At 43.0% G+C, this 23,694-nt stretch overlaps 1 protein-coding gene across 12 annotated transcripts in view; it reads right to left on the minus strand.

Moving 5' to 3' along the window:
- PHF8 (PHD finger protein 8) overlaps window positions 1,837-23,694 on the minus strand; it is a 112,257-nt gene continuing 90,399 nt past the window's right edge. For 6 of the 12 annotated variants that reach the window (XM_005261996.2, XM_011530778.2, NM_001441096.1 and 3 more), the window contains 4 exons: window positions 9,291-9,400; window positions 5,337-5,673; window positions 4,319-4,403; window positions 1,837-3,216 (listed from right to left, as the gene is read on the minus strand). In XM_005261996.2, coding sequence (XP_005262053.1) covers window positions 3,138-3,216; window positions 4,319-4,403; window positions 5,337-5,673; window positions 9,291-9,400 — 611 coding nt within the window. In that variant the 3' untranslated portion in view covers window positions 1,837-3,137. Of the gene's footprint in view, window positions 4,404-5,336; window positions 5,674-7,771; window positions 8,560-9,290; window positions 9,401-23,694 lie in introns of those variants that run through there. The other 6 variants (XM_047441934.1, NM_001184896.1, NM_015107.3 and 3 more) reach the window with 2 other exon arrangements.

The following is a 23,694-nucleotide window of genomic DNA, read 5'->3' on the forward strand; positions in this document are numbered from 1 at the left end:
ATGCTCCTGTCCTCCATTCAACTTACTGGAGGGCAAGTGCCATTTCAGTTAACTTGGTGTGTATGGAGTCCTGATGAAGGGGCCTGTGTAGTTGAGGCAGGAGAAACAACATGAGATAGCAGAAATGGGGATCTGCACTCAGAACAAGTTAGGGCTAGAGGATTCGGTTTGGGAATTAACAGCATCCAGAAAGTTTAGGGGCAACCAAGCTTCTAGAGGGCTTCATAGTTAATTCCATCTTGCAAATGTAGAAACTGAAGACACAGACAAGCAGTTTCTCCCAAATTACTTGGTTAGTCATTGAGAAGGAGGGCTCTTTAGCCACAAGTCCTGTGCACTTTTCCACTCCATACTGGAAAGGGGGATGACTGAAGTTGGGTGCCTCGTTTCCCTCCCAATTTTGAGACAGGAACCTCTGAACTGCTGGCACCTCCTGCCTGGACTGAGGAATAAGGTGACCAAGATTCTAGCTTATCCTCTAACCTGAGGCTGGTAAAAACAAAGCACGAAAAAGTGCTTTGTCCCTTGACTGAGGAAGGTGGGGTGGGAATTGGTGACAAAAATAACCCAGCCCATCATTCCTGCAAAGGCTTTAAAGCCCTTCTTTCCTGTTTCCTTTCTACCAGGAAATACAGTTCTCTATGCTTCAGACATGAACATTATCAAAACCCCACCTACTCCTGAGACAGACTGTGAGAACTGGAGGAGGTCATTTAACCAGTAGGTGCCAAAACCAGACAGCCTCACTCCAGACCCACAGAAGCAGAATCTCCAGGAGGAAGTAAATCTTGACTGGGTTCAAAATACTTTAATAGATGACCCACAGACAGTAAGCAGCCTGCCCTGGCTCACCCACAGAGTCAGGGTGGTGGTGAATTTGAAACTGAGGCTCCCAAGATCACCCTGGGAGCTCTCCTTAGGAGATAACTCTCAATTCTGCATCTTGCACATAACAGAGGCTTAATAAAGATCTGTTGGGTGCTTGAGCCTCAGAAGATTTTCTAATATGGTGAAGGCAAAGAACATAAGTTTTGGAATCAGGCAGATCCTGCTGCAGACCACTGGCAAACTTCAGTCTCCTTAAACTGTTAAATAGGACGAATATCCTCATGGGGTTTTTCAGTGAGGATTAAATGAGATATCCCTAAGTAAAATCCCTAGCCCAATGCCTGGCACCCAAAAGGCACTTAATATAATGGTAGTGTTTATCAGTGAGAAGTGGTAGAACAGAGTGGTAAGAATACACATTCTGGAACCAGGTTGGTCCCAGAATTTTCATGTATGATACAGGAAGGTTACTTTGTTTCTTCGCTGGCAGGATGAGGGTGTTGGTGAGGATGAAATGAATCAATAAAGTATTAAGAGCAGTGCCTGGCACAAGAAAACAAGTGCGATAATCGTGAAAACAAGCTCTGATAATTATATTCTTCTAACCCATGTACTGGCCCTAAGCACAGTAATCAAGTCCAGATTGCACAACAAGTGCATGGAAGAGAGAGGGAAAGAAAAAAAAAATCCCACATTCACAGAAAGAGGACACACTTGAAAAAGCAGTCTCTGGAAAGCCCTCCCATTGAACTTGTTAGGCCCCTTTGAATTATTGCACCCTTTCTTTTCTGCTCAGTCTGCTTCTGATGATCTACTTCAGGTGTGTGAAGCGTGTCCCTCCTGAGGGTGGGAATACCCTTCCCACTTCAAGCATAAGGCTGAGCACCAGGGAAATGCCTGACAACTTGCTGAGGGAGAGACAAAGAGTACAAGGAGAAGGCAGCACTCCCAGACCCTGCACCACACCACCACCCTCATCACAAAAAAAAAGAATGCCAAGCAAAGCAATTGCCAAGATAAATCACTTTTATCTCTATAGGAAAGGGAGGATCTAAAAAAAATATAAATTACATTAGTAACACAACATAAGAAAAAGACAGGGACAAAAACAACAGAGAAGTCTGAATGATGCTACCCTAACCTATTTATAAAAAGGCCCTGCATCAGAAATTCACAATCCTACCCACTTCTAAAAATATATTTAGACATGTACAGAAGCGGTGGGCTTGTTTTTAAATTGTTTGCTTTTTTTGTAAAAATATATTAAAGGTGAATAGAAATCCTCTCTCCCTTCCCCCTGTCCAGCCCCCAGCTAGGGACTGGAGATCAGGGGTAACTATCTCATGGTGTTCTAAACCTTGATTACTAACACTCCCAACCCCTCCCCAACTCACTTCACTTAGAACCTGAAACATTAAAAAAAACAAAAACAAAGACATCAGCCTCTTTGGAAAAGCATAACTCTGAGGGTAAACTTGCTTTTCATTGGAAACAACACAAAACAACAAACAGGGGGCTCTAAGAACCCAACTAAGCTAAATGAAACCCAGTCAAACAGAGGCTGGGTTTCAGCTCCACAGAAAACTTCTAACAAAGAAATAGAGGGAAAAGGCCGGAATCGGGGGGATTTGCTAGCAATTAGCTGCCTTTGAAAGATCAAGAAGGGGTGTTAATGGACAAAAGGGCTGGGGACCTGATCTTGGTTACAGCAGTCACCGCATAGTCAGGCAGTTGCCTATACAGGACAGAGGCTTCTCCTGCTCTCCCCTCACTACCCTCTGCTGCCTTGAAATCCCCAAAATAAGCAAAGCTGGGCAGAAACAGAGGGGAGGGGAGTAGGGACTCACGTGCTAGGGGGGAGGTAGCCAGGCTTTTTGCCTTTGGTGTGACTAGATGGAGAACTGCTTGGCCCCTGGGGTCCCCAAGGTAGAGAAAGCAAATGGGCTAAAGGAACCCCTGATTCCAAGGAAGGAAAGTAGAGGCAGGGCTATGGAGAAAAGAAAGACAAACTGGAGATACAAAGATGACAAAAGAAGCCTCACAAATTCCCTGTGGCCTGCATGGTAGCTATTAAATTCCCCAGAAGCATTGGGCAAGCTGGGGTGAGGTTGGAGTGGGTGGTACAGGTGGAAAGGGCAAGGGTACACTCCACTTGGGTAGTGCCAAATGGAGGTGGGGGGATGTTCTCCATCGAGTCCAGATTGCCAGTGAGGCAAGGCGGTGGGAGGTGGGGGCACTGTCTGGACAATGGAGACAATCCACGAAGGAAGGACAGGGGAAGGGGAGGATCGGATGGATGGTCTGCTCCTTCACGGATGGGCGTCTCTTCTCTTCAACTTGGGCTCGTGAATGGCCTGTCTGCATTCTGCTTGAACGATGACCTGTCGTCTGGAAGTGCAAAGGCCCAGGAGTGAAGATGTGAGTCCTGAGGTCTTCTTCAGACCAAGACCTCAGGTGGAGAAAGAAGCATGAAAAGTTCCCGATGGAGGACCCAGGTGTGGGCCGTCCCGCCACACCCTCCATAATGTCCAGGCTGTGCTCTGTGGTATAGGCGGAGCAAGCAGGCTGTAGGGCCAGGGTTATCTGCGTCATTGGCAGGTGCTTTCAGGTTTCTGGGAGATGGTTTTCCACCTGCCAGGGCCCAGCCACAGCCACAGCCACAGCCACGTGGATAATGTTCTACATGATTTCAAAATCCAGGCAAATCCCTGGAGCTCACCCTAAAACAAGTGGCCTCATGTGTAGCCAGCTAAAAGTAGCTTCCTCCAACAGGCTACAAAACCGTGGTCAAAGGCTTGGGCATCTGACCTCTCCCTACCTTGACAAGTGATAGGAATCACCTTTCTTTTGAAAGGTAAGTGAAGTTGGCATTTCTAGGCCACTTCTGGAAATGGCCCACAGTGGGGCAGGAAGGAGGCTCTAGGCCTTCCTCTTCATTTCCATGAAGCATTTGGCAAGAGGGGGCAGAGACCACAGCCTTCTCCCATGAGCAAGTCTGGAGGTGGGGCATGTCCACTGGACTGGGGAAATGGGGCAAACAGAATGGGTGGAGGTGGGCAGGCTTCTGGATATAGGGCTAGAGTTGCAGAAAGTGTCAAGCACTGGGCTTCCCACTTCATGGCTCAGGCTCCTTCATACCTCTCCTCATCCTGCCTTCCAGCTCTAGCGGGGGATGAAGAATAAAGAACAGACAAGGCAGGTGACGGGAGTGGTTTGGACGAGTAGAAAAGAGGGTTCTAGTCAGCTGGAAACCTCTCCCATTTACCTGCTCCTCAGTGGAGAAGGCAGGCAGGATGCTCTAGTGAAAGTGGGGAAGGGAACTAGAAGGAGTCGGTGGAGGGGTCCGTGCCTTTGGTAAGTCCCAAGAAAGCAGGACAATGCACCTCAGCACCTTGTCCAGGGCAGATAGGATCCAGGAGTGCCCCAAGAGTTGACAATGGAGAAGGCAATGGGGGTAAAGGGGTGAGGGGTGGGACACAGGAGGGCTCACAGAAGTAGTTTGCCATTTCTGTGGATTTTCAGGATACGGCCGAGTCTCTGCTTTGCTGTGGCCAGGCCCTTTTTGGGACGCTTTCCTGTGGGGGAAGGGAAAAGTAAGCAAGGGCTTTGGCAAGGGCTTCAACATCAAATCTGGCACCAACTGCCCTCAGGCCACCTCCCCTTCCTGTTTCTCTACCCACAAAGTTTCTCCATCCTTAGACCATATTGGGCAGGAAGCCCTCCTTAACTACTTCCAACCAACACCACATGCTTTGACTCTTCCTCCTATGACCTCCTGTAGCAGCAAGACTCCCTGATTACAGTTTGTCTAGTTCTTTTTCTCCACTGATTACTCTGGTCCCAATCATTTTCCTTCCAAGATCCTGCAGGGAGGTAAATGTACTTCCATACCCTCTTATCCTACCCACCAGGACTGGACAAGTGCCTGGTTAGTGATTAGAGCTCAGTGTCCCTGAAGTTGCCATCCCTAGGGCCTTGCTTCATTAGAAACTCTCATCTTCATCAGCCTTCAACATCACACCAACCTCCATGCCCTTGAGCTGCGTACTCTAGGGACTGGGCTTTGAGGACCAAAGTGAGGGAAAGGAAGGCTTCAGTCCTCTAACTCTTTGTTGTCTCTGTCTCCCCACATTAAATCCCCTCCCATGTCCTATTTGACTGCCTCCATATTTGATCAGTTCATCTCCTTCCTCTCCATTCCCTCTGGCAGAGCCCCAGGTACTCTTCCTGCCTGCCTGAACTTGTATATGTGCCTCCTCCCTAGAGTTCCCATCTCTAGCCCACCCTCTACCTCCTTCTGGCCACCAGAAGGATCTTTCAAAACTAAAACCTGATCTTGTCTGTACTTCAAATCAGTCAACATCTCTCCATGGCCCATAAGATCAAATCCAAGCACCTTAGGTTGGCCTTCAGTGTCCCTCCCTGGTATTGTCATCTACTAGAGCACTTAGGATTTAGGGCAGGTGGCTCTAAGATCCTTCGGTTCTACAACCATATGGCCGTTGTACCTTGTCCTGCCTGATTGCTCTGGGAGCCAACTGAAGGGCGCCGCTGGGTCAAGAAGACACCGGGGGCCATAGGTGTGGTGCTGCGGTTTGCCTGGGCCATGCCAAAGGCATTGGGACGAGCGGTGTACTCATGGTCAGCGAGACTTCCTGACAGGGCCTCTTGTTTAGGCTCAGGAGGAGGCAGGGGTGAGGAGGAGGTGACAAGTTGTGGTGTGGCAGCCACAGTGGGGGCTGGTACTGTCAGACTGAGATTGGAGTCTTGAGGGCGAGGCTGTTCTACCTCCTTCAGCAAAGGCTTCTTCTTGATATATTTCTTCTTTTGGGCCTTCTGTAGCTCCTGAAACACAAGCCAAGTAGGAGGAGAGATTAAGGAGTGAAGAAGACAAGTTCCCAGGAAAGGAACTAACTAGACAATGTCCAATATGGTTGTGCAACCTGCCACCCTCTCCCTTACCTGCACCAAGTCTAGCCTGGATGTACACACAGCACATAACAGGCCTTCCAATACCTGAGATCATCTCTTTGTTACCATCCATCCTTAAGTCACCACTGTCACTTATTAGTACAGTGCCAAGAAAGCTGTAAATGAATTTGGAGACTAGGATTTTGGTCCTAGTGTTGCCACTAATGAGGTAGACCTTGGACACGTCTAATGATAATAACTAAATTTACATCAGCAGCTGAGACACTTTATATACTTTATCTCATTTAATCCTCATAACAGCTCTAAGAAGAAAAAATCCTAATTTTACATATGAGAAAATGGAAGTGCAGGGATATTAAGTAACTTGAGCCCAAAGCCTCACAGCTGAAAAGTAGTTGGGACCACTATCTAACCAGGTCTATCTGAAGAGACACCTTGCAAACTTCTCAAAGTGGAAAATCTGAGCGTAGAAAGATTAGAAAGATTATTAGTTTTGGAATGAGATAAATCTGGTTCAAATCCAGGCTTGTGTCCCTAAATTGGATGACTATGGTCAAACTGACTAACCTTTCTGAATCTCAGCTACCTCATCTATAAAACAGGTAAAATAATATCTGCTTTTTAGGATTTTTGAAAAGATTAAGTGATGACATAAAAATACACAGCACATAGTAGATATTCGACAAGTGGTTAATTATTATTCTATCTTCATCTCTTATAATGGCTTCACTTCCTCTTGCTGGTCTTTTTCTTTTAACAGTGGGCTTGACAATCCTCCAGGTCACTGGGTCTAAAAACCTCACTTTGGGGATGGGAATGACAAATAAGGAGTTGTGTCACTTCTCCCAATACCTTGTATTTCAACCATCCACTGCCCTATGGATCTACTATCCACTGCATGGTGGACACTTGTATAGTGGGCATCTGGAGCCCTGAGAACCTGGAAAGGTGGTGCTGAGAGCATGTAAATCACTTCACCTTCTGAAATGCTACACAGCCACACAAACCAACTCAGTGATCACATTTTTTTGCCTTCTCTTGGCAACACAAGCCTAATCCTGCCTTCGGAAGATCTCACAGGCTGTGGCTACCACGGGCATTTCTGGGGTACAATAATAACAATATTAGTAATACATGTCAACCACTCTTCTATAATTACTCATTTAATACTTGTAAATACCCAAGAAGTAAGAATTATAATCCCATTTGAAGGATGAAGAAACTGTGGCACAGAGAGGCTAAGTCATTTCCCTAAGGTTACAGGACCAGTAAGTGGTCAAACTGGGATTCACATCCAAGCCATTTGGCTTCAGAATCTCTTCCCTCAGCCAAACTGCTATTCTAACCATACCAGGAACTGCATTTCTGTCCCTTTTTCTCTCACTTAAATCCAGAATTACCTCTTCATATCTAGATCACTAGCCTAAATTTTGCTACCTTTGCTGCCAATCTCTTTCACATATAATTTATCCAGATACTCCCACAGACAACTAGACCATCTTATGACAGAACCACTTTCACCTTGCCAATCCCGTTGCTCAAAAAGCTGTTAGCAGATCCCCGCCCAAGTTCAAACTCCCTGGCCTGACATTCATGATCTTCCACAGTCTGGCTGTTTACACTTAGCCAACCCATAATGATAATGATGAAAAAAGCTAACAGGCCTATAGTACTTACTCCATAACAACTGCCATTCTAAAAGAGCTTGTACGTACATTACCTCATTTAATCCTAAAATGAAGTCTATGAGGAAATGAGGCAAAGAGAAATTAACTTGCCCAAATGGTAGAACTATTACATAATTTAAATCCAAGCAGGCTGACTCTAGAATCCATTCTTATAATCATTACTTATTTTAACTAATTCCCCAACATGAAATCTCCAATACAGAAAGATCTGTTTCTTTCTTTCGTTCATTCATTCATTCACTCACCCACCCACCCCAATACTGACTAAACACATTTTCTGACCATAGTGGGGATACCAAGTTAAATTAAATATATTCCCACTCTTGAAGTATTCATAGTTTAATAAGAAACACCAAAACATACATTTATGATTGTAAGTACCACGAATGTTGTAGAAGCATATAGAAAAAGGCCTCTGAAATAAAGTGGTGGTAGGTAGTATGAAGGGCTGTTAGGTAAGGGATCTGATAGGGTATGATTCTCAATGGGTAAAAGGAACATCTTGTGTAAAGGCACAAAAGCATGAGACAATCTGATATACTCACTGAGGGGACTATGAGTATTGCAGTGCACTATGGCTGTATAAAAGGTGTGCATGAGGGGCTGGAAGGAGGTCAGGGAGATGACTAGAGACCAAATCAAGAGGACTTTAAGAGGGCTTTGTGTGCTATACGAAGGAAGTCCCTTCTTTTAGAATGCCTCCCTGGCCCCTACCAGAAGCTTAGCTTGCAAAGCCCCTCCCCAATTTCAAAACCTCTTCTTTGAGGTTATCTCTGATCATCCCAAACAGAATTTAGCTCCTTAAAAGGCACTAAGAGTAATTTTCACAGCTTTACTTAATTTATATTTATATAAAACAGTAGAACCCCCTTTTTCAAATTACAGCTTACACTGTATTGGGATATACATAAGAGACAGAAGTTCTGGTCAAAGAAGATTGCCAAAGATTTAAACACTATTTAAATAGGATGTAATGACTGAACTACATAAGCATTTATTTAAATAGAAAGTAATATGAAATTTGAAGTTAGAGGATATGAGTTTGAGTTGTCTCCTCCATTTACTGGCTGTATTATCCTGAGTCAGTTAATGAGAGCTTCATTTTCTTCACCTATAAAATGATGAAAATATCACCTGTTGAACAGGGCTATTGGGCAGATAGATTACATTACACATTATATATGGAAGCAACTAACAAAGCAGATGCTTAACAGTGCTCTAAGCTATAGGATATGGGATTAGGAGCTAACGGGATATTGATTGCAAGATAACCAGAGAATTCACCTCCAAAGGCTCCTAAGCACATTACGCACATTAAAGAACTTTTAGATGTAATGCTAGGAGATGAATTTGATTCTAGTGAAGATCACTCTTTAGGACAAAAAAAAAATTTGTGGGTGAAGATTAAGATAATATTATTTCATAAAGAGGACAAGAAAAATTTCTAATCAACCAAATTCCAATACTGGTGGGTGGCTGAGAACTTGAGCGTACTCAGCTGAGTCACCCCCTCAGGGCTTCATATGAGAGCAAAGGAAGGATCTGGTCCTTCTCATCTGAGAGGTTTTTACACACCAAAAAAGGTAAGTGGGTTTTTCTCTGGCCTAATATTTTCTTTCATCCTGAATCATGTCAACTGTGTAACCTGTGGAAGTAGCTTATCATTGAGTTGGGATAAGAGGGATTTAAGAGGGGGCTGGGATACTGCCAAGGATAAAGATCAAAGGTTACTCAATCCCCATTGAGACAAAGGTGGGATCCTATCAGCCTGCAGGTCTAAGTGTTGAGGCTCTAAGTCAAACTGCTATTAGTTGCAGGGTGACCTGGGGTGTCAGCACCTACCTGCTGGGCCAGCTTTGCAGCTGCTGCAGCCAAACCTGTCTCAATAGAGGCTACCCGGGTCCCCTCACGCACAGGACGGTCCTGCTTCGGCAGAGTTGGGGTCACGCGGGCTGCAAGGGAAACAGGATGAGAAGGTGTCACTAAGACATTTATCCGAAGGCTAGCCATATTCCCTACCTCCAAGCTCTCCAAAGGTACTCTCATTGGTCTTCCTGCTTCTAGCTTTTTATGAAGCCAGATTTTGCTTGCCATCACATAAGAACCTAATTCACCAATGCTCAAAGCACACACTGATTAAAGGATAAAGGTAAACCTCCCAGAGGGAAAAAGAAAAAAAATGTGAACCTCCTTTGGCTGGGCATGATGGTTCATGCCTGTAATCCCATTGCTCTGGGAGGGTGAGGTGGGACCCTGTCACTACAAAAAATTAAAAAGTTAGCCAGGTGTGGTGGCATGTGCCTGTAGTCCTAGCTACTTGGGAGGCTGAAGTGGGAGGATTGCTTGAGCCCAGGAGTTTGAGGTTACAGTGAGCTACGATTGTACCACTGCACTCCAGCCTGGGCAACAGAGTGAGACCCTGTCTCTAAAAATAGAACAATAAGCCAGGCCAGGTGCAGTGGCTCACACCTGTAATTCCAGCACTTTGGGAGGCTGAGGCAGATGGATCACTTGTGGCCAGGAGTTCGAGACCAGCCTCGCCAACATGGCGAAAACTTCGTCTCTACTAAAAATACAAAAATTATCCCGGCATGGTGGTGCACGCCTGCAGTCCCAGCTGCTCAGGAGGCTGAGGCATGAGAATTGCTTGAGCCTGAGAGGCAGAGGTTGCAGTGAGCAGAGATTGCATCACTGCACTCCAGCCTCAGCGACACAGTGAAACTCTGTCTCAAAAAATAATAATAATAATAGTAATAAAATAATAATAAAAATTGGCCGGCACGGTGGCTCACACCTGTAATCCCAGCACTTTGGGAGGCCGAGGCGGGTGGATCACGAGGTCAGGAGATCAAGACCATCCTGGCTAACATGGTGAAACCCCGTCTCTATTAAAAATACAAAAAATTGGCCAGGCATGGTGGCGGGTGCCTGTAGTCCCAGCTATTCAGAAGGCTGAGGCAGGAGAATGGCATGAACCTGGGAGGCGGAGCTTGCAGTAAGCTGAGATTGCGCCATTGCACTCCAGCCTGGGCGACACAGCAAGACTCCATCTCAAAAAAAAAAAAAAAATTATCCGGCCATGGTGGTGCACGCCTGTAGTCCCAGCTGCTCAGGAGGCTGAGGCATGAGAATTGCTTGAACCTGGGAGGCAGAGGTTGCAGTGAGCAGAGATTGCATCACTGCACACCAGCCTCGGCGACACAGTGAAACTCTGTCTCAAAAAATAATAATAATAATAAAATAATAATAAAAATAAAAAGTTAATCTCCCTGAACTGGCATTTAAGTTTGTCCCATATTCTGCTTCTGGCCCACTTACCTCTCCAACCTTATTTCCACATCCATATTCTCAGCTTCTCCAGACGGATGGCTTCCTTATTACATCTCCAGAGTGTGTACAGCTCATCCTCTCTCCCTATGCTTTCATCCTCAAAATCCACACCACCTAGAGTACTATCTTCCTTTTTGTCTGCCTATTCAAAACCTACCCATTCTTTAAGGTAAGCTGAAATCAATCTCCTACACAAAACCTCTTTGGTTCCACTGATCTCTTTTTCCTTTGAACTTATGATCTGTATAAATTACTTGATACATAGCACATACCACCTTGTCTCATTCTCTAATGCTGATGTGTTATTCTGTCTACCAGCCAGGCTATGAGTTCCTGAAGAAGACCACCCTCTTGCATGACTCTTTTATAATGCCTTACCAACCTGAAATAAAAAAATACTCATCCCACCATTTCAAAAGGAAGTGTATTTCAGGATAACCAAACAGCCCTAAATGATGAGAGACAGCTCTTCTTTACAGAAGAAAGCCAGCTACTAAATGTAGAAGGAATGACAGAATTAGAAAACCACAAGCTGGCAAGTCCTAATGAAACAATTGATTCTAGGGAATTGGATATTCACACAGCACCAAAATATTACCCATTCACCTCAAGAAGAAAAAACTTATAATGATGAGATCAAGAGATTACCACTTTAAGTATGAACTTTACTGTCACTAATAGTGAGAAAGCACAACACAACTTCACACGCCTCTTGATGAGAAGCAATAGGAAATTCACATCACCTGAGAAGTAGTTTTGTTGAAGAGCTAAAATATAGCAAGCCATTCATATTACTTTCAGTGTTTAGGAAACAGGTACAGAAAAACAAATGACACCAGAAGAAAACAAGCAGACATTCTACAAGATAAACTGGCTTAGTCTCTTTAAAAAGACAATGTCACAAGTAAGCAAACAGACAAATCTAGAAGGTAGGACATGCTACAGGGCAATTACACCAGTGTCAACAACAAATCAATAGCACAGAACAAAAAAGGGGAGAGTGCTCTAGATTGAGAGGGTTAAAAGGCATTCAAATGCCACATGGACCCTGTTTAGACCCTGATTTAAACAAATCTAATATAAAAACACCTTTTCATGGTTTGACAATTTAGGAAATTTGATTATGGACTTGGAATTATATAAAGAATTATCAAATTATTGTTAGTTTTGTTATGTATAATAACAGGTTGTAAGGTTTGGTGAGAAAATATCCACTTTTTAGAAATACATACTGAAATACTTGGGGGAAACAGCATAATAACTGGGGTTTGCTTTCAAGCAAAGAAAAAAATTTAAAAAACAAGATAGTGATAAATGAAGCCAATACGGCAATATATTAATAACTGTTCATTCTCACTGGTGGATATATAGGAGCTCAATGAACTATTCTATTTTTATTTATTTTTTGAGATGGAGTCTTGCTTTGTCGCCCAAGGCTAGAGTGCAGTGGGGTCATCTCGGCTCACTGCAACCTCCACCTCCCGGGTTCAAGCTATTCTCCTGCCTCAGCCTCCTGAGTAGCTGGGATCACAGGCATGCAACACCATGCCCGGCTAATTTTTGTATTTTTAGTAGAGACGGGGTTTCACCATGTTGGCCAGGATGGTCTTGAACTCCTAACCTCAAGTGATCCACCCACCTCGGCCTCCAAAACCATAGGCATGAGCCACCATGCCCAGCCTTATTATATTTTTAAAGAAAAAAACTAATGTCACAGAAAAAAGATGTGGTGGTACTGCTGACCTAGATTTAAACTCCTTGGTTAGCTATTGCTATTATAAAGGAGAATTTCTGGATAAGCAGTATGCAGATTCTAGAACAAGCAATTCGGAAGGCTGAAATTCTTTCTTTAAAGGTAACATTTGTTTAAAACATGATCTGAAGCAAATTTACCAAAAGTTGACGCATAATTTTCAGTCATGGATACTTGGATCTCTTTTATATTGTTCTCTATAGTTTTGTATGTGTGGTGGTTTTAAAACATGACCCCAAATCCCATCACACCTTTCCTACTGATAGGTGAGATCTGTGCCCCACTCTTGAATCTAAGCAGGCTTATTTGCAAGCTATAGAATATGGTATAAATGACACTATATGACTTTTGAGGCAAGGTCAGTAAAGGCAATTTCAGTTTCCACACTGCTTGTTGGAACACTCATGCTTTTAGCAATCTGAACCGCCATGTAAAAAGTTTGATTGCCTTGAGGCTGCTGAGCAGTGAGGAAGCTAGTCACATGGAGAGGCCACATGTTGGCACTTTCAGTCTTTTGTGTCCTCCCAGGCCAGGCATCAAACATGTAAGTGAAAGACTTCAGATGACTCAAACTCTTGGCCAACAAGTCACCCCCAGCCTTCAAAGTTTTTCCAGCTGAGACCCCAGACTTCATGCAGTAGAGACAAGTTGTCGCCATTGTGCCATTTCCAAATTCCTGACCCACAGAATACATGAACATAAGAAAATGGTGGTTGTTTTAAGCTGGGGAAAAAAGAACCCTCCTTGATTAGACCTGGGTTTTGGGAGGGAAAAAAACCTATAAAAGATATTTTGTGTAAACAGTTGGGGAAATTTGGTTATGAACTGGGTATCTGAAGATCTTAGGGAATTATTACTAACTTTGGTAAGTATAAAAAAAAGTAGTGTGGTTACACCGGGGAATGGCGGATGTCCTTATTTAATTTTTTTGAGATGGAGTCTCACAGTCACGCAGTGGCGTGACCTCTACTCACTGCAACCTCCACCTCCTGGGTTCAAGTGATTCTTCTTTCTCAGCCTCCCAAGTAGCTGGGATAACAGGCACCCACCACCCCGCCCGGCTAATTTTTGTATTTTTAGTAGAGATGGGGTTTCACCATGTTGGCCAGGCTGGTCTTAAACTCCTGACCTCAAATGATCCACCTGCCTCGGTGTCCCAAAGTGCTGGGATTACAGGCGTGAACCATCGGGTAAAATATGTTATGATGACTTTGAAGTGGCTCAGCAAAAACTATAGATAGCCAGATAGATACAGATAGAGGAATCAAGCAACTATAGCAAAATGTTACAACTATAGAATCTGAGTATTAAGACTATGGGTATTCAGGTGCTATCCCTTCTACTTTTACATATGTTTAAAAATTGTCGGCCGGGCACGGTGGCTCACGCCTGTAATCTCAGCACTTTGAGAGGCCGAGGTGGGTGGATCACCTGAGGTCAGGAGTTCGAGACCAGTCTGACCAACATGGAGAAACCCTGTCTCTACTAAAATTACAAAAAATTAGCCGGGCATGGAGGTGCATGCCTGTAATCCCAGCTACTCAGGAGGCTGAGGGAGGAGAATCGCTTGAACCCAGGAGGCAGAGGCTGTGGTGAGCCAAGATCGTGCCATTGCACTCCCGCCTGGACAACAAGAGCGAAACTCCGTCTCAAAAAATAAATAAAATAAAAATAAAATAAAATAAAATAAAAAATAAAATTGTCATAATACACTTTGGGAGGCCGAGGTGAGCGGATCACCTGAGGTCAGGAGTTTGAGACCAGGCTGGCCAACATGGTGAAACCCTGTCTCTACTAAAAATACAAAAAAATTAGCCAGGTGTGGTGGCACGTGCCTGTAATCCCAGCTACTTGGGAAGCTTAGGCAGGAGAATCACTTGAACCCCGAGGGCAGAGATTGCAGTGAGCTGAGATCGCGCTACTGCACTTCAGCCTGGGCGACAGAGTGAGACTCTGTCTCAAAAAATAAAATAAAATTGTCATATTAACAAATTTTAAATAATGAACAAGACTAAGAGCTTATAATAACCAAATGCATTGTGTAATCCTTGAATGGATTCTGGTTTAAGTAAGCCAATTACAAAAGATATTTTTGGTGCAACTGGGGGAAATTTGAATAAGTACATGGTACTAGATGATATTAAGAAATAAATGTTGGCCGGGCGCTGTGGCTCATGCCTGTAATCCCAGCACTTTGGGAGGCCAAGGTGGGTGGATCAGGAGGTCAGGAGATCAAGACCATCCTGGCTAACACAGTGAAACCCCGTCTCTACTAAAAATACAAAAAATTAGCCGGGCGTGGTGACAGGCGCCTGTAGTCCCAGCTACTCAGGAGGCTGAGGCAGGAGAATGGTGTGAACCCGGAAGGCGGAGCTTGCAGTGAGCGGAGATCGCACCACTGCACTCCAGCCTGGGTGACAGAGCAAGACTCCGTCTCAAAAAAAAAAAAAAAAAAAAAAAAGAAATAAATGTTACTTTGCTTAGGTGTCATATAATGGCACCGTGGTTATGGAAGAAAATATCATTCAATGCATATTTAAGTATTAAGGATGAGATGTTATGATGGGCGACATCAGTAAACATGGCAAAGGACCTCCAAGAATTCACTCCCCAATAAAAACAACAAAAAAACTAGCAAAAATTGTCAGGATAAATTTTTTCAGAACTCTGGAAATTAACAAAAGGCTTGCAGCAACCTGGAAAGCACTTGATTCAAGAAAAACAGCTGAATCTCAGTAAGAACAATGAGCTTTGTGCATTTTAACTTGCCCTAGACACATCTACCTTACCCCAGCTTAGTGAACACCTTGAAAAACAGCAGTCCAAGTTCCCAGCAATGTAGTGAGCAGAAAGGAGCTAGAGCTTTCTTTCAAAGCCTAGTACTAAAAGCCTCTCCCTCCCTGATGGGTGTTTAAAAAAGAATTTTAAAGGCATGTGCTTAATGTCATAGCTGTTTAAGGTGATGGATAACAGTTGTGACAAACAATAGATTAACCCAAATGGTTAAAAAAAAGCTAAAGAATGAGATATCCATAAAGAATTTGACAAGTTCTCACGCATTTCTGCAAATTATAAGACCACATGCCTGTGTTGGCGCTGTAAGACTTGAGAAGGCCCTAAGCATGCACCTCTGTCTGACTTTGAGGTGCTACACAAATAGAAGTGAAGGCTACCGCAGAGTTGTAAACTGCCTGGCTGAGTGAAGGCATGCTCCAACATGCACATAGAGAGCCCCTCAGCAAGCACTGGGAGCACTCACTGGTTCCAGGCATTTCAGGAAATCTGTGTCCAATCATGAGACATCTACTAAGCTAAATGAGTAGAGACATCAGTGTGCACACACAAAAAAGTTTACAGACTTTACAGAATTAGTTCAGAAAAGCCACTAAACAAAACACAACTACAACAAAGAGTGTTCTCTGAGGAGCAGAGTGGAGAAAATCTGATTTTCAGAGTTGCCACGGCATTTAAAATGTACAGTTTTCAACAAAAAATTACAAGACATACAAAGAAATAAAGTATAGCCATTCACAAGAAAAAAAATCAATCAGTGGAAACTGTCCCTGACTTCCTAGACATAGTTGGAGTTACTAGACAAGGACTTTAAATCAGCTATTTTAAATGCTTTCAAAGGCTAAAGGAGACCATGTCTAAGGAACTACAGGAAAGTATGAGTATGATGTCTCACCAAACAGAGAATACCAATAGAGACAGAAATTATAAAAAGAAACCAAACAGTTATTTTGAAGTTGAAAAGTAAAATAACTGAAATGCAAACTTTAACTGAAATGCAAACTTCCCTAGAGGGTTTCAATAGCACATTTGAGCAGGTAGAAGGAAGAATTACTGACTTTGAAGATAAGTCAATTGAGATTATCCAGTCTGATGAGCACACATAAAAAGAGAATGAAGAAAAGTGAACAGAGCCAAAGGGATCTGAAGGACACCTATTCGAAGAAATAACAACTAAAAACTTTCCAAATTTGATGAAAAACAATTTATACATTCAAGAGCTCAACGAACTCCAAGCTGAACAAATTTAAAAGGCTACACATCATAACTCAAACCAAAGACAACAGAAATTTTTTTTTTTTTAGACGGAGTCTTGCTCCATTACCCAGGCTGGAGTGCAGTGGTGCAATCTCGGCTCATTGCAAGCTCTGCCGCCAGGGTTAACGCCATTCTCCTGCCTCAGCCTCCTGAGTAGCTGGGACTACAGGTGCCCGCCACCACGCCCGGCTAATTTTTTTTCTATTTTTAGTAGAGACAGGGTTTCATCGTGTTAGCCAGGATGGTCTTGATCTCCTGACCTCGTGATCCGCCCGCCTCGGCCTCCCAAAGTGCTGGGATTATAGGCTTGAGCCACTGTGCCCGGCCAACGACAACAGAATTTTGAAAGCAGCAAGGCAGAAGTGACTCACAACATAAAGTGATTTCTTTATCATCAGAACCCATGGAGGTTAGAAGACAGTGCGAAGACATATTCTAAGTGCTAAAAGAAAAACTATCAATCAGGAATTCCAGATCCAGCAAAACTATCCTTCAAAAATGAAGAAATCAAGATATTCCTAGATAAATAAAAACAAATAGTTTGACACTAGTAGACCTTACCTATAAGAAATGCTAAAGGGCCAGGTGTGGTGGCTCATGCCTGTAATCCCAGCACTTTGGGAGGCCGAAGCGGGCAGATTACGAGGTCAAGAGTTCGAGACCAGCCTGGCCAACATAGTGAAACCCGTCTCTACTAAAAATACAAAAAATTAGCCAGGCGTGGTGGCAGGCACCTGTAATCCCAGCTACTTGGTAGGCTGAGGCAGGAGAATTGCTTGAACCCGGGAGGCAGAGGTTATAATGAGCTGAAATCATGCCATTGCACTCCAGCCCAGGCGACAGTGCGAGACTCTGTCTCAAAAAAAAAAAAAAGGCATGTTAAAGGGAAACCTTCAGGCTGAAATGAAAGGACACTAGACAATTGAGTCTACATGAAGAAATAAAGAGCACTGGTAAAGGTAACTAGATAGGTATATTTAAAAGACATTATCAACATATTTTTGTAACTTTTTCTAACTGGATTAACAGACAATTACATAAAGCAATTACTATAACCCTGTGTTCATGAACACAATGTATAAAGATGTAATTTGTGACAGTAATAGCATAAAAGAGAAGGGTAATGGAGCTATATAGCAGCAAAGTTTCTGTGTAGTACTGAAATTAAGTGATAATAGGCTGGGCGCGGTGGCTCACGCCTGTAATCCCAGCACTTTGGGAGGCTGAGGCGGGCGGATCATGAGGTCAGGAGATGGACACCATCCTGGCTAACACGGTGAAACCTCGTCTCTACTAAAAATACAGAAAATTAGCCGGGTGTGGTGGCAGGCGCCTGTAGTCCCAACTACTCGGGAGGCTGAGACAGGAGAATGGCGTGAACCCGGGAGGCAGAGCTTGCAGTGAGCCGAGCCGAGATGGTGCCACTGCACTCCAATCTGGGCGACACAGCGAGACTCTGCCTCAAAAAAAAAAAAAAAAGAAAGAAAGAAATTAAGTGATAATAATGTGAATTAGAATGGTATAAATTAAGTTGTTAATCCCCAGGACAACCACTAAGAAAATAACTTGGCCAGGTGCGGTGGCTCGCGCCTGTAATCTCAGCACTTTGGGAGGCTGAGGCGGCCGATCACCTGAGGTCAGGAGTTTGAGACCAGTTTGGCCAACATGGTGAAACCCCGTCTCCACTAAACACACAAAAATCACCCAGGCTTGGTGGTGTGTGCCTGTATTCCCAGCTACTTAGGAGGCTGAGGCGGGAGTATTGCTTGAACCCGGGAGGTGGAGGTTGCAGTGAGTCGCGATTGTGCCACTGCACTCCAGCCTAGGCAACAGAGTAAGACTCCATCTCAAAAAAAAAAAAACAAAACAACAACAAAAAAAAACCCCTCACATATAGAGAGATAAAAAAAAAAGGAATTAAAATGGGATCCTAGGGCTGGGCACGGTGGCTCATGCCTGTAATTCCAGCACTTTGGGAGGCCAAGATGGGTGGATCACCTGAGGACAGGAGTTCGAGACCAGCCTGGCCAACACGGTGAAACCCCAACTCTACTAAAAATATAAAAATTAGCTAGGCGTGATGGCAGGCACCTGTAATCCCAGCTACTCAGGAGGCTGAGGCAGGAAAAGAATTGCTTGAACCCAGGAGGCAGAGATTGCAGTGAGCCAAGATCGCGTTGCTGCATTTCAGCCTGGGTGACAGAGTGACACTCTGTCTCAAAAAAAAAAAAAAGCGGGGGGGGTCCTAGAAAATAGCTATTAAACATAAAAGAAGGCAGTAACTAATGGAGGAATTGAGGAACAAAAAATAAGACACATAGAAAACAAATAGCAAAATGGATATTGAGTCGAACTTTGGCAGCTATTAGAACCCTCCAACTGATAGGCAGATGTTGGCAGAATGAATTAAAAATGACCCTACTATATGCTATCTATACAAGACACACAGTTTAGATTTGAAGACACAGGTCGAAAATAAATGGATGAAAAAAGAGATAACAATAAAAGTGGTACTCAAATGAAAACTACAATGGCTATACTAACATCAGACTTTGAGACAAAAATCATTACTAAAGACAAAGAAGAGCATTTTATAATGATAAAAAGGTCAATCCATCAACAAGGTATAACAATTACAAACATATGTGTACCTTACAACAGAGGCTCAAAATAGATGAAGTGAAAACTGACCAAACTGATGGGAGAAAATAGATAAATTCAATAATAATAGCTGGAGACTTCAATACCACATTTTCAATAATGGATAGAGCAATTAGAAAATCAGCAAAAAACGGACAGGTGTGGTGGCTCACGCCTGTAATCCCAGCACTTTGGGAGGCCAAGGTAGGCGGATCACAAGGTCAGGAGATCGAGACAATCCTGGCTAACATGGTGAAACCCCATCTCTACTAAAAAATACAAAAAATTAGCTGGGTGTGGTGGCAGGTGCCTGTAGTCCCAGCTACTGGGGAGGCTGAGGCAGGAGAATGACGTGAACCCAGGAGGCGGAGCTTGCAGTGAGCCAAGATCATGCCACTGCACTCCAGCCTGGGTGACAGAGCAAGACTCTGTCTCAAAAAAAAAAAAAAAAAAAAAAAAAGAAAAGAAAAAATCAGCAAAAAACTAGAGATGTCGTAACACGTAAGATTTTGCTTAAAATGCCTTGAAAAAAAGAATAAAGCAAATACAGCAAAATGTTCATTAAATCTGGGTGACAGATATATATATATATATATATATAGGTGTTCATGGTAATAACCTCTTGAATTTTATCTTATGTTTGAAAACTTTCATAACAAAAATTTTTTAAAAGGAAAAGTATTTACCGACTGTTCTGGTGCTTATGATTACTGTAGCACTATAGTATATTTCATTTACTTTCTCTATCCCAATATTCTTTAAGCTAATTATACCTGTTTACTTTTTAAATTACTTTTAGAATGAATTCCCCACAAAATTCCATTAGGATTTTGATTTAGGCTAGTGTTAAATGTATACATTAATTTGGAAGGAAATGACTCTTTACAACACTCAGTCTTTATAACCAGGCATATGGGAAATCTCTATTTCTTCATGTCGGTTCCACACTATCTTCTTACAATTATTCTTGCATATTTTATATGTTTGTTGCTATTGTCAATAGCATTTCTTTTTCTCAGTACATTATGGTTATTACTAATATAGTACTTCTTGATTTTTGGATAGCTGGTATATATCCAATGATTTACCCAATTTACTGAATTCTCTTATCAGTATTAGCAGTTTTTAGTTGATTCTCTTTCATTTTCTGATATTACATAATTATATCATATCTCTATTTTTATTTCTATTTTTTGTAGAGACAGGGTCTTACTATGTGGCCCAGGCTGGTCTTGAACTCCTAGGCTCAAACAATCCTCCCATCTTACCTTTCCAAAGTGCTAGGATTACAGGCATTAACCACCATGCTCAGCCCCATACCTGTGTTTTCTATATCGATTATACAATTATATCTTATCTTTCACTCATCAAATATTTGTTAAACATCTCCTACAGGCCAGGCACTAGGCAAAGTGCTACAGATACAATGATGGCCAAAAGTGAACAGGATTCTCACCCTACTGGCTCACATCATGATTTGGTCTCTTCTTTTCTTTTTTTTTTTTTTTTTTTTAATTTCTGCTTTACTTCTAATTACACTGGCATGAACTTCTAGAACAATACTAAATAATAGCAGTGTTAGTGGGCACATTAGTCTTATTCCTGATCTTAATGGGAATCCCCTTAGTAGAATGCCTTAGTAGAATGCATCTTTTGAGTTAAGAACTCACTTTGAAAATGTGATAAAAATTACTAAAGAAATATACATACATAGATGCATGCATTTACATAAAATTTCAATAGAATATTAATAGGAGATTCAAAGGTCCATGAACACCAGTTGATGCATCTGTGCTCTACAGTTTCATCCTATTGGGTTAAACTTGGTGTTCTTCTTCATTTTAAAGAACTATCTTTTTAGTTAACTAAAAGCCACTTTTTAAAAGTTTGCAGTTTTTTGGCTGGGCGTGGTAGCTCACACCTGTAATTCTCAGCACTTTGGGAGGCTGAGGCGGGCTAATCACTTGAGGTCAGGAGTTTGAGACCAGCCTAGCCAACATGGTAAAATCCCATCTCTACTAAAAATACAAAAATTAGCCAGGCATGGTGGTGGCGGGTGCTTTTAATCCCAGCTTCTTGGGAGGCTGAGGCAGCAGAATCGCTTGAACCTGGGAGGCGGAGGTTGTAGTGAGCAGAGATCATGCTACTACACTCCAGCCTGGGCAACAGAGTGAGACTCTGCCTCAAAATAAAAAAGTCTGTGGTTTTTCTAAGTCATAAATAGGTAGTGAATAAGTGAAATACCAGCACAAGAGCAGACAGAACTTTGATGGTACAAAATGGATGTGCCTCAAACAACCCATGATACGTATGAGTCAGTACACATGGCAAAGAAAGCATTTTCAGCTTAGTGGGAATGTGATTCTAGCACCAACAGTCATCTTTTTGGGGGGAATACCAATTTATATCTTCTGCTCAGTACCATATATTAAGCAATTCTTTGTAGATCAACACATTAGATATTTAAAAATTATGCTTAAAAAATACAAGGGTGTTAATTATCTACTCTCTGAATATGCAAACAAATGATCAACACTTGATACTGAAATATTCAAATTTTCCTGTAGAATGAGGAAGAAGTACAAGCACATTATAAGTATAAAATATGTGCGTGTGTGTGTGTGTGTGTGTGTGTGTGTGTGTATGAAACAAAGGATGACTATTCCCTTACTATATAAAATGGGCAACTCGAAAACCTTGAAGAACCACATGGATAAGTGGGCAAAGGATGTAAACAAAATTTACAATGGAAGAAACTCTGATGCTAATAAAACATAGAGGCTATGCTTAATCAAAAAAATGTAAATTAAATCAATGAGATACTGTTGTTTGCTTATGAATTACCAAGGATCAAAAATTCATGGTAGAAGCCGGATGTGGTGGCTCACACCTGTAATCCCAACATTTTGGGAGGCCGAGGTGGATCACCTGAGGTCAGGAGTTCGAGACCAACCTGGCCAACATGGCGAAACCCTGTCTCTACTAAAAATACAAAAAACTGGCCAGGCGCGGTGGCTCATGCCTGTAATCCCAGCACTTTGGGAGGCTGACATGGGCGGATCACAAGGACAAGGGATCGAGACCATCTTGGCCAACATGGTGAAATGCCGTCTCTACTAAAAATACAAAAAAAAAAAAAAAATTAGCTGGGTGCGGTGGTGCGTGCCTGTAGTCCCAGCTACTCAGGAGGCTGAAGCAGAATTGCTTTAACCCAGGAGGCGGAGGTTGCAGTGGGCCGGGATCTCGCCACTGCACTCCAGTCTGGTGACAGAACGACTCTGTCTCAAAAAACAAACAACAAAAAAAATTAGCTGAGTGTGGTGGCAGGTGCCTGTAATCCCAGCTACTTGGGAGGCTGAGGCAGGAGAATTGCTTGAACCCGGGAGGCAGAGGTTGCAGTGAGCCAAGATCATGCCATTGCACTCCAGCCTGGGCGACAGACCGAGACTGTTTCAAAATAAATAAAAAACAAACAAACAAACAAACAAAAAAACCCTCATGGTAGAGACTACTCATTCTCAACCAAATGTCATTCTCTTTCCTGCTTACTAACAAAAACACTGATTTTGTGGGACAGCAATATGCCTAGATAAAAACTGTATCTCCTAGCATCTCTGGCTGATAGTCTTGGCCATCTGACACAATTTCAGCCAAATAGATGTGTAAAAAACGTGGAACTTAAAACTCCTTGGGGAGAGGGAATGCTCAGCACTCAGCATGCCTGTCCCTTTTTCCTTTTGCTTTTCTCCTTCTTCCTGACTGCAGCCCAGACCCCAATGCTGGAGGTGAAGTAGCCATCTTGTGACTCTGAGAGAACAAGCACTCACTAAGGATGCTTGAGACATTACTCATAATCAAATACTACTCCTAACTGGTGTGTTCAATGCCTGCATACATTTCATAAACAAGCACTGCGGATGGAAGTGTAAATTGGTACAACTTTTCTGGAAAACACTTCTGCAATAAGTATCAAGAACTATTTTTTTTTTTTTTTTGAGATGAAGTCTTGCTCTGTCGCCCAGGCTGGAGTGCAGTGGCAAAATCTCGGCTCACTGCAACCGCCACCTCCCGGGTTCAAGCGATTCTCCTGCCTCAGCCTCCTGAGTAGATGGGACTACAGGCGTGCGCCACCATGCCCAGCTAATTTTTGTATTTTTAGTAGAGACGGGGTTTCATCATGTTGGCCAGGATGGTCTGGATCTCCTGACCTCGTGATCCGCTCACCCTGGCCTCCCAAAGTGTTGGGATTACAGGCGTGAGCCACCGTGCCTGGCCCAGATGTATTCTTAAGAGAGAAAAGCAAAGCACATAACAGCGTATAAAATACGTTTCCAACTGAGTTAAAAAAAAAAGGAGGGGGAGGTAGGAAAACATATACATGCATTTGCTTGTATATGTGCAAACTGTCTCTGAGAAGATAAATGAAAAAACTGATGGCCGGGCGTAGTGGCTCATGCCTGTAATCCCAGCACT

This window comes from Homo sapiens, chromosome X (genome assembly GCF_000001405.40).
Source record: "Homo sapiens chromosome X, GRCh38.p14 Primary Assembly".
In the NCBI taxonomy this organism is placed as follows: Eukaryota; Metazoa; Chordata; class Mammalia; order Primates; family Hominidae; genus Homo; species Homo sapiens.